This window comes from Homo sapiens, chromosome 3, assembly GCF_000001405.40.
Source record: "Homo sapiens chromosome 3, GRCh38.p14 Primary Assembly".
Lineage (NCBI taxonomy): Eukaryota > Metazoa > Chordata > Mammalia > Primates > Hominidae > Homo > Homo sapiens.
The window spans coordinates 141884469-141903123 of NC_000003.12; the positions used below are offsets into that span (position 1 = coordinate 141884469).

Sequence of the window (18655 nt, forward strand, 5' to 3'; positions counted from 1 at the left end):
TATTGAGTGTCAACTTGATTGGGTTGAAGGATAGAAAGTATTGATCCTGGGTGTGTCTGTGAGGGTGTTGCCAAAGGAGATTAACATTTAAGTCAGTGGGCTGGGAAAGGCAGACCCACTCTTAATTGGGTGGGCACTGTCTAATCAGCTGCCAGCAAATATAAAGCTGGCAGAAAAACGTGAAAAGGAGAGACTGGCCCTAGCCTCCTAGCCTACATCTTTCTCCCGTGCTGGATGCTTCCTACCCTCAAACATTAGACTCCATGTTCTTTGGTTTTGGGACTCAGACTGGCTCTCCTTGTTCCTCAAGGAGATATATACATATTATTAGTTCTGTCCCTCTAGGCCCTGACTAATGCAATGTATGTATCTCAGGTGCTGTCTTTGGCCTTGTTTTCTCTTCTTCTTTCCTGGCAATGTCATATAACAACTGCAAAGATCATTACAGATTTTACTTCTTGGTTGACATCTCTCTCAGGTTCCAGGCCCCTGTTTATTGTCAGTTGCTTTCTGCATATCCCACAAATCTAAGAGTGTGAGGCTTAGATGTCTTAACTAACTTTCATACCAGATAACGTCATCTGGTAAATAGCTCGTTTCCCTTCCTTCCCTGAGGTTCTGTATTGCTCCTATTTTTGCAGTTTTAAAAAACAGCTTCACTATCCTGTCGTCTAGGCTCCAGACTTAGCCAAATTGTGCCGGTGCTATTCAATAACATCGCTTGAACCTCTTGAATCTTTGTGGCCCATATCCCCATTACTAGTACTACAATTATTTTAGGAATTAATTTTCTTTGACTTGTTTACCATTTTCTCTTTATCCCCATCAAGACACACGTTCAGAGGACATCTGAGATGCTCATTTTTCCTAGCTTCATAATCCTAGCCACCCGTACCAAATTTCATTAACACTCCCACCAACCTTGTCCTCATTTTATCAGGATCTGGTAGTGCCTTTTCTTTTTTCTTTTCTTTTCTTTTTTTCTTTTTTTGTTTTTCAGATGGAGTTTCGCTCTTGTTGCCAAGGCTGGAGTGCAATGGCACAATCTTGGCTCACTGCAACCTCCGCCTCCCAGGTTTAAGTGATTCTCCTGTCTTAGCCTCCCGAGTAGCTGGAATTACAGGCACATGTCACCATGCCTGGCAATTTTTGTATTTTTAGTAGAGATGGGATTTCATCATATTGGTCAGGCTGATCTCGAACTCTTGACCTCAGGTGATCTGTCTGCCTCAGCCTCCCAAAGTGCTGGGATTACAGATGTGAGCCACTGTGCCTGACCAGCGCATGCCTTTTCTTATAAACTCTGTGATTTAAAAACTTGAAGCACCAGATGAAGATCTTTGTAATTGTTTCACAGTTGTTCCAGCTTCAAATAGACGATTGGCTTTCCAGCTTTTATCTGCTGCGTTAAAACACACACACACACACACACACACACACACACACACACACACACCCCTGTAGTGTTGTTGACCCTGGGGAAAGTGGGTCTTAACTACTGGTGCATCTCCAGTAAGATCCAAAGAATCAGTGAGAATCATTGTGACTTAAGCAATGTAGCCCACTGCTGTCGGGTTATTTCTAAGGCAGCAGCTTTGATCATATTACCTTCTGTACCCCAAAACTGTGTTTGGGTCCCTACTGCTTCCAGAAAGTTTAGGTAAGTTCCAGAGAGTCTGGCATTCCAGGTTTATTGTATGTGGGCGTGGAGCTGTTTCCAACCCTAAGTAACCCATCGTTTCCCACCTTGCCCACACCCCATTATGCACCCTATGTTGTAGCTACACGGATGTATCTAAGACCCTTAGTCTGGAACCCCTGTCTGTTCCTTCCCCAATCTCTTCGTTCTGTGCACACGAATTCTTCCTTATTTCACAGACCTAGCTTCAGTGCTGGCTCTGCCATAAGCCTTCTCTGATATGCTCAGGTGGAAATAATACCACTTATTTCCTATAACATCTAAAATGTTGTATCTGTATATAAAGGTGTAATTCTATCACCCAGCTCACAATGGCTCTGCTCTACTACATTTCTAATTAATTTTTAAAGTTTCCAGATAGGGCATCATAATAAAAAGTGAACTGGTAGGTTTATATATTTTTACTTGATGCATCTCAGAATACACCAGTATACTGAGAAGATGACCAGATAGGACTCATAGACCTAAATTCTAGTTCCACATCTCTGTTAAAGCTTAGATAACTCAAGATCTCTTAGCCTTGTTTCCTCTATAAAAGAAAAAAGTTCAGCCAGATGTGATGGCTCATGCCTTTTAGCCCAGCACTTTGGGAGGCCAAGATGGGAGGACTACTTTAGGCCAGGAATTCAATACCAGCCTCGATGACATAAGGAGACCCCATCTCTACAAAAAATAATTTTAAAAAATTAGCTGGCTGTGTTAGCACACATCTTTGGTTCCAGCTACTCAGGAGGTTGAGGCTGGACAATCACTTGAGCCTGGGAGGTCAAGGCTGCAGTGAGCCATGATTGTGCCACTGCACTCCAGCCTGGTTGACCGAGTGAGACCATACCTCAAAAAAAAGAAAAAAGACATTGTATGAGATAGTTTCAAATGTAACTTTGAAATTACAAACAAAGCCTACCTATATAAATGCTTTAGAATGGGAGGCAGCAAGATTCAAAGGACCACGTTATTGTTGGCTTTGCTGACCACACGGTGTTTGTTGCAACTACCTAACTCCATTACTGTAGCTTGAAATTGGCCATAGAACTAACGGGCATGGCTAGCATTTTATTTACAAAAATAGCAGCAGCCGTGGTTTGCTTTAGAAGTTAGAGTTGGTGAGTGGTCAGTGTAGTCTGACTCAAGAAATCTGAACTGGTCTTAAATGGGATGTGGACTCTTGGCTTTGTTCTTTTCTTATAACAAAAGTAACACCATTATTTTTACAGTACAGATGTGAATATCAGTAAGTCCAACATCATCCTCAGCTTCTTCCCTGGGTAACCCCCGTTAAGTGTGTAAATGCTTTTTAAAAGGTAATATGTGGCATATCCATAAAGGTCCGGCAGTGTCTTATAAAGGTAAATATATACCCACCCCCTGAGCCAGCAGTTCTACTCTTAGGTGTGTTTATCCAAGAGAAATGAAAACATACGTTCACAAAATGCTCTTGTACAAAAATATTCATAGTAGCCCTATTCATAATAGTTCCAAACTGGGAACAGTTCAGGTTTTTATCAGCTAGGCGATAGATAAACTTGCATGTCTACACAATGGAATACTACTCAATGGTAAAAAGGAATGAACTACAGATGTACAAAATGTGATGAATCTCACAGGTTGACTGCGAACGAAAGCCTTACCAAAGAGAGTACATACTATATGGTTTTATTTATGTGAAATTCTAAAATAAGCAATTCTTACCTATGCTGGAAAAAAAAACCCAGAACGGTGGTTGCCTTTAGGGCAGTGGACAGGGAGAATGACTAGGAAGGGACGTGACGGAACTTTCAGGGTGATGATAAGTGTTCTGTATCTTGAATAGGGCTTTGGATCATAAGTGAATGCATTTGTCAAAACTCATTAAGTGGTATATTGGAGATTTGTGTATTTCACTGAATATGCATTTTTTCTCAATTTTAGTTAATACGCATGCTGAATTGTTCTCTGATGTTTGCAACTTGAATCTTTAAAATGAGATAAATACAGTAAAATGTTAATTGTAGAATCTTGATGGGTTTATGGGTGTTCACTTTTAGGTTTCACTCAACTTTTCTGTGCATGGGTAAACATTCCTAATTGAGTGTTGGAGAATATGAATACATTCGTGTGTTTCTCTCTACCTCCTTCACCAGTCTCAGAGTGTTTCCTACAGATGACTATCAGGTTTCCTGTCAGTCCTTTTTTCAGCACCATTTTTATATATGTATATAAACATGTTTCTGTATATATGTGGAGTATATAGAAATAAGTAGGTTCTTGTCTACCTTTACCTGAGTAATAGGAAACTCATATGTTCTGGAACTTGATTTTTTTTCACTTAATATGTTTTGGCTGTATATATAGGTTTGTGTCATTCCTTTTCATAGCATAATGTATTCGTCTATTTTCACACTGCTATAAAGAACTACCTGAGACTGGGTAATTTATAAAGAAAAGAGGTTTAATTGACTCACATGATATGGCTTGGCTGTGTCCCCACCCAAATCTCATCATGAATTGTAGCTCCCATAATCCCCACATGCCATGGGAGGAACTGAGTGGGTGGTAATTGAATCATGGGGGCAGGTCTTTCTTGTGCTCTTCTTGAGATAGTGAGTAAGTCTCATGAGATCTGGTGGGTTTTATAAATGGGAGTTCCCCTGCGCACGCTGTCTTGCTTGCCGCCATGTAAGATGTGACTTTGCTTCTCATTCACCTTCTGCCATGATTGTGAGGCCTCCCCAGCCATGTGGAACTGAGTCAATTAAACCTCTTTCCTTTATAAATTATCCAGTCTCTGATAAGTCTTTATTAGCAGCATGAGAAGAGACTAATACACTCACAGTTCCACATGGCTGGGGAGGCTTCAGGAAACTTACAATCATGGCAGAAGGCAAAGGGAAAGCAAGGCACTTCTTATTCTTACATGGTGGCAGGAGAGAGAGAGAGCCAAGGGGGAAGTGCCACACACCTTCAAACAACCAGACTCATGAGAACTCATTATCACAAGAACAGCAAGGGAGAAGTCTGCCCCCCATGATTCAGTCACCTCCCACCAGGCCCCTCCCCCAGCATGTGGGGATTACAATTTGAGATGAGATTTGGGTGGAGCACAGTGACAAATCATATCACATAATATTCCATAGTGTGGAGATTATACTATAGAATATATATATTTCTTTCTGATGAATGTTTAAATTGTTTCCAATTTTTATCTTAAAAATTGCTGCAGTGCAACTTTTTATCTAGGATAAACTGAGAAATGGAATTGCCAGTTTATAATATGTATTTATTTTTATGAATATATTGTTCTGAGTGGGCACAATAGCTCATGCCTGTGATCCCAGCACTTTGGGAGGCCGAGGCAGGCGGATCACCTGAGGTCAGGAGTTCAAGACCGCCTGGCCAACATGGTGAAACCCCATCTCTACTAAAAATACAAAATTAGCTGGGCGTGGTGGCAGGTGCCTGTAATCCCAGCTACTTGGGAGGCTGAGGCAAGAGAATCACTTGAACGCAGGAGGCAGAGGTTGCAGTGAGCCAAGACTGCACCACTGCACACCAGCCTGGGCAAAAAGAGCGAGACTCCGTCTCAAAAAAAAAAAAAAAAAAAAAAATATATACACACACACACACACACACACACACACACACACACACACGTATATCTACATATATGTGTGTATATACATATACATATATATATATATACAGTTCTCCAAAAAAGCTGTACCAGTTTATACTCCCACCAGCAGTGGATAAAAGTACCTTTTCTCCTCAAGCACTGGATATTATAACAATATTGTACAATCATACAAAAATATTGTGCAGTTTTTTCCATTTTGATAGGATGCTGGTATCTATCTGGTTGGTTTAATTTGTAATTTCTTCAATATTTTTATATTTGCTCAATTTTAATTTTTAAAAAATGCCTGTAATCTAATTTTTTTTCTTTTTTTTTTTTTTTTTTTTTTGAGACAGAGTGTGGCTCGGTCACCCTGGCTGGAGTGCAGTGGCATGGTCTCGGCTCACTCTGCCTCCTAGGCTCAAGCGATCCTCCTGCCTCGCCTCCTGAGTAGCTGGGACTACCTGTGTATGCCACCACACCTGGCTAATTTTTTGATTTTTGTTTGTTTGTTTTTTTGTGGGGCTTTTTTTTTTTTTTTTTTTTTTTTTTTTTTTTTTTGAGATGGAGTCTTGCTGTGTCACCCAGGATGGACTGCAGTGACATGATTTTGGCTCACTGCAACCTCCACCTCCTGGGTTCAGGTGATTCTCCTGCCTCAGCCTCCCAAGTAGCTGGGATTACAGGTGCCCGCCACTACGCCCGGCTGATTTTTGTATTTTTAGTAGAGATGGGGTTTCACCATGTTGGCCAGGCTGGTCTCGAACTCTTGACCTCAAGTGATCTGCCCGCCTCAGCCTCCCACAGTGCTAGGATTACAGGCGTGAGCCACCACGCCCACCTAATTTTTGTATTTTTAGTAGAGACTGGGTTTTGCCATGTTGCCCAGGCTGGTCTCGAACTCTTGACCTCAAGTGATCTGCCCACCTCTGCCTCCCACAGTGCTGGGATTACAGACGTGAGCCACCACGCCCACCTAATTTTTGTATTTTTAGTAGAGACTGGGTTTTGCCATGTTGCCCAGGCTGGTCTCAAACTCCTGAGCTGAAGCGATCTGCCTGCCTCAGCCTCCCACAGTGCTGGGATCACAGGGGTGAGTCACGGCCCCCAGTCTGTGTTATGTTCTTACTGGTTAAAGGAAATTTTGATACACTTTGAATATTAAGCCTTTGTTATACTTGTAAATATTCTTTATGGACTCATCTTTTTGTTCTCTTGTCTCTTAACTCTTACTTTGGTTTATTTTTTTAATTGTAATGGTTTTAAATGAACATTATCACAGATTTAACAGTCTTCTATGTTCTTTTCTTAATCACTTATCCCTATATGTTGTATAATCCATCATTTCCCCAATGATATGAATTGGCAACTTTGTTAAATGAAAAATTCCATTTTATATGGATTCTTTTTAGGATATTGTTTTGTTGATCTGTATCTTGATTCCTGTGTATCATCACACTATATAGTAGGCTCTGTATTCGTGATTGTAAAGTAAAATACATGTGTAAATTTGTGTCAATACTACCTGTTCAGTTTTAGTATCCAAATAGTGCAAGCCTTATAAAAACCATTAAGGTAACTTACAGAGCATACACAAAGAATAGTTTATGTATAGAAAATAGTCTGTTCTTTCCATTTTGAGAGAACCAACTAAAGCCATTTAGACTTGGTGTCTTTTACTGGGGTAAACCTCTTTTTTGTAAAAATTCATGGTTTGAACATTTTAATTTTCCTAAAAAATTTTATATTTCATCTGTTTTCACATTTACTAATTGAAAACACTTTTGATCAAGTTGATTTATTATTTAAATGTATTGAATGGTTTTGGTGTGGTTTTTCATTACATTTTGTGTCCATTAACTTGTGTTTTCATCTTAAATCTCTCCTACTTTCTTTGTATTTATTTTAGTCTTGAGCTAAAAATCTGGCTTTTTTGTTAGTCGTATATTTTAATGATGTTTTAATGAATGCATCTAGGGCTATGGGTTTTACTTTGAGTTCTGCTCTGATTACATTATTTTGAATTTTTGGATATCTGTGTTTTTTTAATTCAGGGATTGAGATACAACTTTCTAAATTTGTATTGTTAATTTCTAATGTATTTATTTTGAGATGTTAGAGAATGTGGCCTCTTTTTTTTTTTTAATGTTTTTTAGTTTTGAATTGTGTTTTGTTTTTGTAATGTAAGTCATGGTCAGTTTGGGGACAGTGCTCCAAGTTTGTAGAGAGTACATTTCTTGGTGACTACAAAGTTCTACGTATACTAGGTAACTGTTGTGTTTTAAAAATACATATTGCCCTTTTTATTGTCCTTTACTCAATCTGTGGGTTTCTGGAGAGGTATGTTAACATCTCTGGTCATGATTGTGGTGAATTTTATAACTCTGCTTTTGCTTTAATCATTTGAAGCCACTTAGCATCACAGAGGTTCATGGCTATTATGCTGTATCTTCTTTATGTGTTTTTATTTACTTTTATTAAATACACAGTATCTTCACCCTTGCAAATGCTTTTTTACTTGAATTCTAGTTTGCATACAGTAATAATGCCATATCTACATTTCTTTTGTTAGCCAAGACCTATTTTATTTTCCTGTTTATTTCAACCATTGGTGTTTAATTTTAGATTGTCTTCTATAACAGCATTAAGTGGATTTTTTAACTGACTCTGATAATGTCCTTTATTATTACCACTTTTAAATTATTCCTGCCATATTATTGACATTTTAATTACAAATTGTTATTGAATATAGGCTGGGCGCAGTGACACACGCCTGTAATCCCAGCTACTCAGGAGACTGAGGCACAAATATTGCTTGAACTGGGAGGCAGAGGCTGCAGCAAGTGGAGATCGAGCCACTGCATGCAGCCTGGGTGACAGTGAGACTGTCTCAAAAAAAAAAAAAAAAAAAAAAAAACAGTTATCGAATATAGACAAATTTAAAACTTTAGCCTTATGTAAAATACAAACACAGTGACAAAATCATTGGCTGCCTGGGGAAGGGTGTGTAGATTGCAAAGGGGTACAAGGAACGTTTTGGACATGATGGTAATGTTCTATATCTTTAATGGAGCGGTAGCTTCACAGATTATACAACGGTCAAAACTAACTGGAATTGTATACCTGAAATGGAGGAAACTTACTATATGCAACTTATTCCTCAGAATTGATAAGGAAAAGCAATTAAAACATCTTAGATGTTACCAGTAAGTCTTAGCAGATCTCTGCTCACCATTGCCTTATGTAGTTTTCCTCTTGGCCTTAGTTTTTTCTTTTTCTCACCCAGGCTGGAGTGCAGTGGTGCCGTTGGTTCACTGCAGCCTCCACAAGCTTCCACCTCTCAGGTTAAAGCAATTCTCCTGCCTCAGCCTCTCGAGTAGCTGGGATTACAGGCACGCACCACCACACCTGACTAATTTTTTTATTTTTAGTAGAGACGGGGTTTCACCATGTTGGCCAAGCTGGTCTCGAACTCCTGATCTCAAGCTATCCACCCGCCTTGGCCTCCTAAAGTGCTAAGATTACAGACGTGAGCCACCACACCCAGCTCTCTTTATTCTTGATGTTCTAAAATTTTACCTTTTTATTTCTAGGTATAGGATGTTTTCCAGTATTTTTTAACATTTCCAATCTAGACACAAGCTTGTTATTTCTTTGAGAGTTCTTGCCCCACCCTCTTTTCCTGTGGAGTTCCTATTAGATTTGTTTGTATTTCTGGTTCTCTCCCCAATGTCTCAACAATTTTTCATATACTCCTTCTCTGTTAGCCCACTGTCATAGAATACCTGACTTGATCTTTAGCTCACTGAATTTTTCTTCAGCTTGACCAGTTCTCCTGAGGTTAAGTTTTTGTTTGTCTTTAACAGCTTTATTGAGGTATAATTAACATACAATAAACTGCACATATTTGAAGTTTTGGTATACACTCATGTATATGTGTGTGCATATGCTGTATTCATGAAACTGTCACTGTAATCAAGATAATGAACATTTATCACCCCAAACATTCCCTCTTGGCACTTTGTAACCCATCTCTGTTCTTACCTTCCCAGGCTCCAAGCAAAAATCTGCTTTTTGACAGTCTGTATTAAATACAGCCATGCCTTCTGAGAAATGTGCTTAGCTGTGTTCATTGATTTCATTGTTGTGCAGACATTATAAAGTGGACTTACACAAATCTAGATGGCATAGCCCTCTAGACATATAGGCCATATGGTATAGACTGTTGCTCCTAGCTGCAAACTTGTACAACATGTTACTGGATGAATACTGTTAGCAATTGTAACACAATGGTAAGTATTTGTCTGTAAACATATCTCAACATAGAAAAGGTACAGTAAAAATACCATGTAAACATAAAAAATGGTATACCTGTATAGGGCACTGACCTTGAATGGAGCTTGCAGGACTACAGTTGCAGTGAGTGAGTGGTGAGTGAATGTGAAGGCCTAGAACATTACTGTACCCTACTGTAGACTTTATAAACACTGTACACTTAGGCTACACTAAATTTATTAAAATTTTTTTTACTTCAGTAATAACCTTAGCTTACTGTAACTTTTTACAATTTTTTTTTTTAATTGAGATGGGGTCTTGCTATGTTGCCCAGGCTGGTCTCGAACTCCTGGCTTCAAGCAATCTTCCCATCTCAGCCTCCCAAAGCTATGGGATTGCAGGTGTGAGCCTTCATACCCAGCGACTTTATATACTTTTAATAACACTTAGCTTTTAAAGCACAAACACATTGTACAGCTGCATAAAAATATTTTCTTTATATCCTTATTCTATAACATTTTTTCTATTTAAAAGTTTTAACTTTTTAAACTTTTTTGTTAAAAACTAAGACACAAACATGCACATTAGCCTAGACCTACACAGAGTCAGAATCATCAGTATCACCGTCTTCCACCTTCATCTCTTGCCCCACTGGAAGGTCTTCAGGGGCAGCAACACGCATGGGGCTGTCCTCTGTGATGACAATGCCTTCTTCTGGATACCTCCTGAAGGATTGCCTGAGGCTTTTTACAGTTAACTTTGTAAGTAGAAGGAGTACACTATAAAATAACAACAAAAAGTATAGCATAGTAAATATATAAACCCATAGCAGTTTATTATCATTATTAAGTATTATGCATTGTACACAGTTGTTGCATACTAGACTTTTATGTGACTGGTAGGTTTGTTTATACCAGCATTGCTACAGACACGTGAGTAATGCATTGTGTTGCGACATCACTAGGCCATAGGAATTTTTCAGCTTTATTATGATCTTAATGGGACTATTGTTGTGTATGCAGTCTGTCACTGACTGAAATGTTACGTGGTGTATGTCTGTATGTGGAATCATGCTTTATGTTTTTTTTGGGGGGAGGGTCTCATAGGAGATGACAGCTCCTGTGCATGTTATTGTCTCTTTTTTCTTTCTTTTCTTTTTTTTTTTTTTTTTTAAGATGGACTCTTACCCTGTTGCCCGGGCTGGAGTGCAGTGGCGTGATCTCAGCTCGCTGCAACCTCTGCCTCCCGTGTTCAAGCAATTCTCCTGCCTCAGCCTCCCGAGTAGCTAGGATTACAGGTGCCCGCTACCATGCCTGGCTAATTTTTTGTATTTTTAGTAGAGACTGGGTTTCACCACGTTGGCCAGGCTGGTCTCTAACTCCTGACCTCAGGTGATGCACCTGCCTCAGCCTCTCAAAGTACTGGGATTACAAGCGTGAGCCACTGCGTCCCGCCTCTTTTTTCTTTAGCATAATTATTTTGAGATCCATCTGTGTTTCCATGTGTATCCACAGTTCTTATTGCTGAATAGTATTGCATTGTATGGATATAGCCAAATTTATTAATTCAACTGTTGGTGGATATTTGGGTTGTTTGCAGTTTTCAGTGATTATAAATAAAGTGTCTGAACATTCACATTTCCCTACTGTGTGAACATGGGCTTTTATTTTTCTTGGGTAAATATCTAGAAGTAGATTGGCTGGATCTTTTGGTAGGTGTGCATGTTGCTAACTTTTCAAAAAATTGTCAAACTTTTCTTTTTCTTTTTAAAAACAACAACAGCAACAAAAAACATTCCCACCAGCAGGATGTGAGAGTTTCAGTTGCTCCACTTCTGGGTCATTACATGGTACGGTCAGTCTTTAAAATTTCTAGCATTCTGGTGGGTATGTAGTGGAGCTCATTATAGTTTTGATTTCTCTTCCCTGGTGACTAATGATTTGGAACACACTTTTTATGGGCTTATTTTTGCAATCCTTACATCTTGGTGAAGTTTCGGTTCAGATCTTTTGCCTGCTTCAAAAAATGTGTCTTGGACTGGGTGCGGTGGCTCACACTTCTAACCCCAGCACTTTGGGAGGCCAGGGTGGGAGGATCACTTGAGTCCAGGAGTTTGAGAGCAGCCTGGACAACAGAGCAAAATCCCCTTCTCGGCTGGGGATGATGGTTCACGCCTGTAATTCTAGTACTTTGGGAGGCCGAGGCAGGAGGATCACTTGAAGTCAGGAATTCAAGAACAGCCTGGCCAATATGGTGAAACCCCATCTCTAGTAAAATTACAAAAAAAAAAAATTTTCTTAAGAAGACCCCCTTCTGTACAAAAAAAATTTTTTTTAATTAGCTGGGCACGGTGGTATGTGCCTGTAGTCCTAGCTACTGGGGAGGCTGGGGCAGGAGGATTGCTTGAGCCCAGGAGTTTGAGGCTGCAGGGAGCTATGATTGATTGTGCCACTGCACTCCAGCTTGGGCAGCAGAACGAGACCCTGTCTCTAAAATAAAATAAGTAATATGTTTTGTTGTAAAAGTTCTTCATATATTCTAGATAGGAGTGAGTCATTTATTTTATGTTTTGCAAATATTTTTTCCCAGTCTTTGGTTTGCTTTTTCATTTTCATAACTGTCTGGGTTCTTCTTCAGTTTTGATTCTTCTTCAGTTAAGCTTTTCTACTAAGTTTTTTATTTCAATAATCAGAATATGATATCTAATTTTTAAAAATTATCCTTCACCTTCTACTGTTTTAATTATGCTTATTTTTCTTTGTTCTATTTGCTGATACAGCCCAGTGTTTTCAGGCATTGCTGTCTTTGTTGAGTTTGGTACTTTTCTTTATGGATTAGTTTTATTTTGAATGTGTGATAATTATTGGTTTTGTGCTCCTCTTCTGTGTGTTTAGACTTTCCTATTACAACATTCAGGGATGGAGGTAGCCTGTATAGCCAAGAGCAGCCTGGGTGTGGAGGCTGTCTGCTCCTGTAACCTTTCACCAACCCATTCAGAACATGGCCCACTTTTCCAGCCCAAGCTCCCTGTTCCCACTTCAAGCAGATGCTGCTGCTACTGTTGCTAGTTGCTTGGCACCAGGGGCTCATGCATACTGAGAGAAGCAAAGCTGTGCTCACCTGACTGCTCCTGCTGTGGTACTCCATCTCATCACCTAGTCTTTGACCCAGAGCTCCCTCCTCCTCTCCATCTTTGGTGAGCCAACTACCTTATTTCTGGGTGGCCTTCTCTGATGTCCCTTTTCTTCCTCTTCCTGCTAGAGAGGATTCTTTTTGTTTTTTTTCCTAGCATCCAGTATCTATAATTCATTGTTTACATATTTGTCATTTGTAATAACTGAACTCTTGTAGAGAAGCAGCAGATATTATTCACATGTGAATTTCTATCACCCTGAGTAACACAGAATACTTGAATGAGACATTTTTATTTAGAGAATGGGAGTTTTAATAGAAAAGACAATAGAGCTTGAGACTCCCTGGGAGAGCAGGCCAGACATGGAGAGATACTGGTCTATTTCTTTTACTGGTAGGTTAATCTTAGGCAGGTTATTTAATCTTGTTTAATCTTTTATATTACAATAATTTTAATTATATAAAATGTGAGAGTGTGTGTATACATACATATATGTGCATACATTTTATTAAAACAGTACATGTTCATCGGGTTTTTGTTTTTGTTTTTTGTTTTATTTTGAGACAGAGTCTCACTCTGACACCCAGGCTGGAGTGCAATGGCACAATCTTGGCTCACTGCAACCTCTGCCTCCTAGGCTGAAGCGATTCTCCCACCTCAGCCTCCTAAGTAGCTAGGATTACAGGTACATGCTACCATGCCCAGCTAATTTTTGTAATTTTAGTAGAGACTGGTTTTCACCATGTTGGCCAGGCTGGTCTCGAACTCCTGACCTCAGGTGATCTGCCTGCCTCGGCCTCTCAAAGTGCTGGGATTATAGGCATGAGCCACTGTGCCTGGCCAACAAATAGTTTTTTAAACAGTAGTGGGACAACTGGATCTTTCCATGCAGAACAATGTAGGTGGACCCCTACCTCAAACCATATACAAAAATTAACTCAAAATGGATCAAAGACCCAAACTTAAGAGCTAATTTATAAAATTCTTAGAAGTAAACATAGATGCAAGTCTTTATGACCTTGGATTAGTCAGTGTTATTTTAGATATGCCACCAAAAGCACAAGCAACCAAAGAAAAAATAGATAAGTGGTTCTTCATCAAAATTAATAACTTTTTTGCTTAAATAACATTATTAGGAAAGTAAAAGGATAACTTGTGGAATGGGAGAAAATAATTGCACATTATATATTTGGTAAGGGGCTTGTATCTATATATAAATAACTTCTAGAACTTAATAAAAAAGGCAGATAACCAAATCTAAAAATGAGAAAATGATCTGAATAGACAGTTCTCTGTAGAAAATATACAGATAACCAATGAGTTTATGAAAAAATGCCCAGCATCATTAGCCATTAGGGAAAATGCAAATTAAACCCACAAAGAGATACTACATTGTATCCACTAGGATAGCTGTATGAAAACACAGTAAAAGAAGTGTTAATGAGGTTGAGGAGGAATTGGATCCCTGCTGTAGGAGTGTAAAATGGTGAAACTGCTTTGGAAGACAGTCTACCAGTTACTCAAAAGGCTAGAGTTACCATATGACCTAGCAGTTTGACTCCCAGGTATATACCCAAGAGAAATGAAACCATTTATTTATACAAAAACTTGTGCATGAATGTTTATAACATTATTCATAATGGCCAAAAGATATAAACAACTCACATGCACATCATCTGATTAATGAATCAATAAAATATTGTATATCCATATACAGTGGGATATTATTCAGCCATAAAAAGGAATGGAGTACTGATATATGCTGTAGCATAAATGAACCTTGAAAACACCTTACATGGAAGAAGCCAGTGACAAAAGCCATGTATTACATGATTCCATTTCTAGGAAATGTCTAGAAAATAGATCTATAGAGACAAAGTAGACTAGTGATTGCCAGGAACTGGGTGCAGGGAGGGAGAGGAATGGGAATGGGTATGGAGTTTTGGGAGGAGGTGTTGAAAATATTTTAAAATTTATTGTGGTGATGCTTATACAACTCTGAATATAAAATGTAAACTTCACACTTTACATATGTGAATGGTATGCGAATAATATTGTTAAAAATCAGTATTGTTTTTAAAAATTCAAATATACAAAAGATTATAAACTTGCACCTGTTCATATAATGGATTTTTTAGAAATTATACATGTCTCTGCTTTAAAATGTTTTAAACTATAAACAGAATGCTAGTTTATTTACCAAATGGAAATGGTTGCTAGTCATCAGTATTTTCTGAGAGGCCCAATCTTTCTAGCATCTAGGTCCCTGAAGATAGCTAGAAAGTGTGCAGAGGTTGAGAGTAAGATCACAGGGTCTAGTCATGTGTTGAGGGGGCATATTTCCAGGCCCTCATGAAGCCCAGTGACTTTTCCCTGTGTCCAGATTATGTGTGCTGGTGTTGCATAATAAAGAATTTGTTGGCTGGATGCAGTGGCTCACGCCTGTAATCCCAGCACTTTGGAAGGCTGAGGCAGGCAGATCACCTGAGGTCAGGAGTTCGAGACCAGCCTGATGAACATGGAGAAACCCCGTCTCTACTAAAAATACAAAATTAGCCAGGTGTGGTGACACATGCCTGTAATCCCAGCTACTCAGGAGGCTGAGGCAGGAGAATCACTTGAACCCAGGAGGCAGAGGTTGTGGTGAGCTGAGATCACACCATTGCACTCCAGCCTAGGCAACAAGAGAGAAACTCCATCTCCAAAAAAAAGTGTCAGTTGAGTGTGGTGGCACACAACTGTAGTCCCAACTTCTCAGGAAGCTGAGACAGGAGAATCACTTGAGCCGAGGATTTTGAGGATGCAGTGAGCTTTGATTGCACCGCTGTACTCCAGCCTGGGTGACAGAGAAAGACCCTGTCTCAAAAAAAAAATTTTTTTTTTGTTTGATGTTTTTTCCAGGTTCCTGGCACAGAGCTTCTAAAGACCCTGGAATTTGAGTAGTAGGAGTGTCTTTATTATGCTAATGAAGTGACTGGCAGTGGGTCCCTAGATAGCTTCAAGATGGAGCATGGTCCCCCAGAAAGACCAAACCAAGTCCCTACATGGTTGGGACTTTGAGCTAGCCAGACCTCCAAGGAGGGCAGGAAAGAGGGCTGGAGACTGAGCTATATTGTGTGGCCTGTGGTTTAGTCAATCATACCTACATAATGAAACCCCAGTAAAAACTCTGGACACTGAAGTTCAGTGGAGCTGCCAGGTTAGGAAACACATGTGCTGGGAGGGAGATAGCCCTGATTCCTCAAGGAGAGGACACAGAAACTGCCTTGCCTCCCAGACCCCATTCTACATGTATCCTTTATAATAAAACTGAAATCCTAATTTGAGCACTTACTTTCCTGAGCTCTGTGAGTCATTCTAGTGAACAAACTTGAGGGTGCAGTGGAAACCTCCTGTATTAGTTACTAGTTGGTCAGAAGTGTGGGTAGTGGGAGGACCTCTGCAGCAGCATTTCTATGGAGGACTGAGCCCGTAGCATGGGGTAGTTGGTGCCAGAATTGAATTGTACGCCCAGTGTGGTTGAGGCAGAAGAGCTGGACAGGGCCCGTTTCTCCTTCCCCTGGATGACATGGTGGTTCCTAAGTCTTGCCAGGTTTCTTGCCTGTCTGGTTGTTTTCTTGTTTTTGTTTTTTTGAGAAGGGGTCTCTCTCTGTCACCCAGGTCGGAGTGCAGTGGCACAGTCTCGGCTCACTGCAGCCTCTGCCTCCTGGGTTCAAGCAATTCTCCCATCTCAGCCTCTCAAGTAGCTGGAATTACAGGAGTGCACCACCACGCCTGGCTATTTTTTGCATTTTTAGTAGAGACAGGGTTTCATCATATTGGCCAGGCTAGTCTCGAACTCCTGACCTCAGGTGATCTGCCCGCCTTGGCCTCCCAAAGTGCTGGGATTACAGGCGTGAGCCACTGCACCTGGCCCATGTTAGTTTCTTTAGTTGGGTAATAAGGAAATTTCTTGAAAGATTTTAAACTAGCTAGGGAACGTTAGTAATATGATAGGTACTATTTAGGCTGTATTTGCTGTTTTCTGCTTACATCAAGTAGCACTGAGGCGGGCATGGCACATTGAATAGGTTCCATGAACACTATCCATGACTAAGTCAGGACGCCGCCATTTAGAGCCCCATCAGCAAACTACATCTGAGTAACTAATTTAACTGCCATTTTACACCTGGGTAAGAGCAGCAATTTACAACTTCTGTTTTTATTTTCTGTTGTTTTTTCTTTTAGGGGGAAGAGGTGGTTGATAAAGTATATTTATATGTGAGACTGACTAGTTTAAGTTTTTAAAAATTAGATTTGGTTCTTGGCAGAAGGATCTTGTTCAAGTAAGGAAAACTCACTTCACTGCTGGAAATAACTTATTTACTTGTTTCTAATGGCCACTAGTATATGGCATCAGATTTGGGACATAGCTGTTGATTTGTGTATATATTGTATGAATGTAATTCTTTATACTCATTATTTTCATTGTGTAATAGTTCCTTAGAAAGCAGATTTGGATATAGTTTGTTCATATCTGCTATATATTTATTTGCTTTATAACTATTTTGTAAATTTAATTTACATTATTTTCCTAGAAATTTAAAATCAAAATGTTCAAAACAGTATTGTAACAAGAATATTTTAAGATGACTTAAAAACACTGCTAAATAATTAAACTCTTAGCAATTTTGTTTCAGACATCTCCACTTTAATGTCAACTGCATGGGTCAACAAACTACTGTGGCCCCAGTCTGCCTATTTTTATAAGCAAAACCTTATTGGAATACAGCCACACTCATTACATTTAAGTTTCTGTCAGCCCTGGTGTAGAGGATTTTATCCCTTCGTTCCTGCAGACACCTAGATCTCAAAGAATTTCTCTTCTGTATCTTATTAAACTGGCCTGTGGGCTTTCTGTGTGTTTCATTTCCCTCTATAGCAAACTGTTTACTTCTTTGAGATTGGTCTTTTCTTTTTCTGCAACAGGATCGCAGTATGTGGTAGGGAAGTGATGCTGTCTGAAGGTGACATCCTGTTCTCCTCTCTTCTGTCCTCTCCATCCTTATTTTGGCCACCTGGTAATTGGGGGGGAGGGGTAGAATGCTAGTCTAAATTATAAAATGAAATTGCTTTAACTATTTCCCCTTTACTTGAAAAAGGGGGTTGGGGGTGATTCCTGCCTTGCAGTTGAGAAATAAAAGTTATCTAGCTTTCAGCACAATCTGTTTTGGGGTCATGGGATCTTTTGAGAATCAGAAGAAAGTTGTGGAGCCACTCCCTGGGGGGAAAATATATTCAGAAATATATTATTACAGAAATGAATCTTTGATCAGTTTTTAAACCTTGAAATACAAGTGACTTTACCAATGTATTCTAATATACTTGTTGGCAGCCACTTCTGATGTTAGAACTTTGAATATAGACATTTGAGAAAAATAATTGATTTTAAGTGTTCCCAAAGTAAATCACTGGTTCAGGATAGATCTATCTTAGTGTTCCCAAATTGTGAAAGGAAAGAGATTAAGCCCTTAATGTTGAAACGTGTGTCTCCCAAATCTTGCTTTGTGCTTAGCAGTAGAGCTATGAAATTCCATTGATCAGAGGGCTTGTTTCTGACCTTGTCCTTTTTTCACTTTTGCACGAGCCCTGCCATTTGACCAGTGTGTCCTAAACTTTATTCATTGAGTGCTGTCTTCATAAGTTGGCCTTATCTGCACATTTCCTGATATTCTTTCAATGAACTCAGTTTTTAAAATATATATTTTTTTAATTTTTTAAATATGGAACGACTCACAAATTTGCATGTCATCCTTGCACAAGGGCCATGCTAATCTTCTCTGTATCGTTCCACTGTTAGTATATGTGCTGCCAAAGTGAGCACCTAATTTTTTTGTAAAGACAAAGTGTTTCCTGGGCTAGTCCCAACTCCTGGGCTCAGGCGATCCTCCCATCTCAGCCTCTCAAAGTGCTGGCA

At 39.4% G+C, this 18655-nt stretch overlaps 1 protein-coding gene and 1 pseudogene across 1 annotated transcript in view; one reads left to right on the forward strand and one right to left on the reverse strand.

Annotated features, from left to right (window-relative positions):
• The window catches only part of ATP1B3 (ATPase Na+/K+ transporting subunit beta 3), a 49907-nt gene that overhangs the window by 7826 nt on the left and 23426 nt on the right, over window positions 1–18655 (forward strand). The window lies entirely within an intron of this gene.
• Window positions 18458–18562, reverse strand: RNU6-509P (RNA, U6 small nuclear 509, pseudogene; annotated as a pseudogene).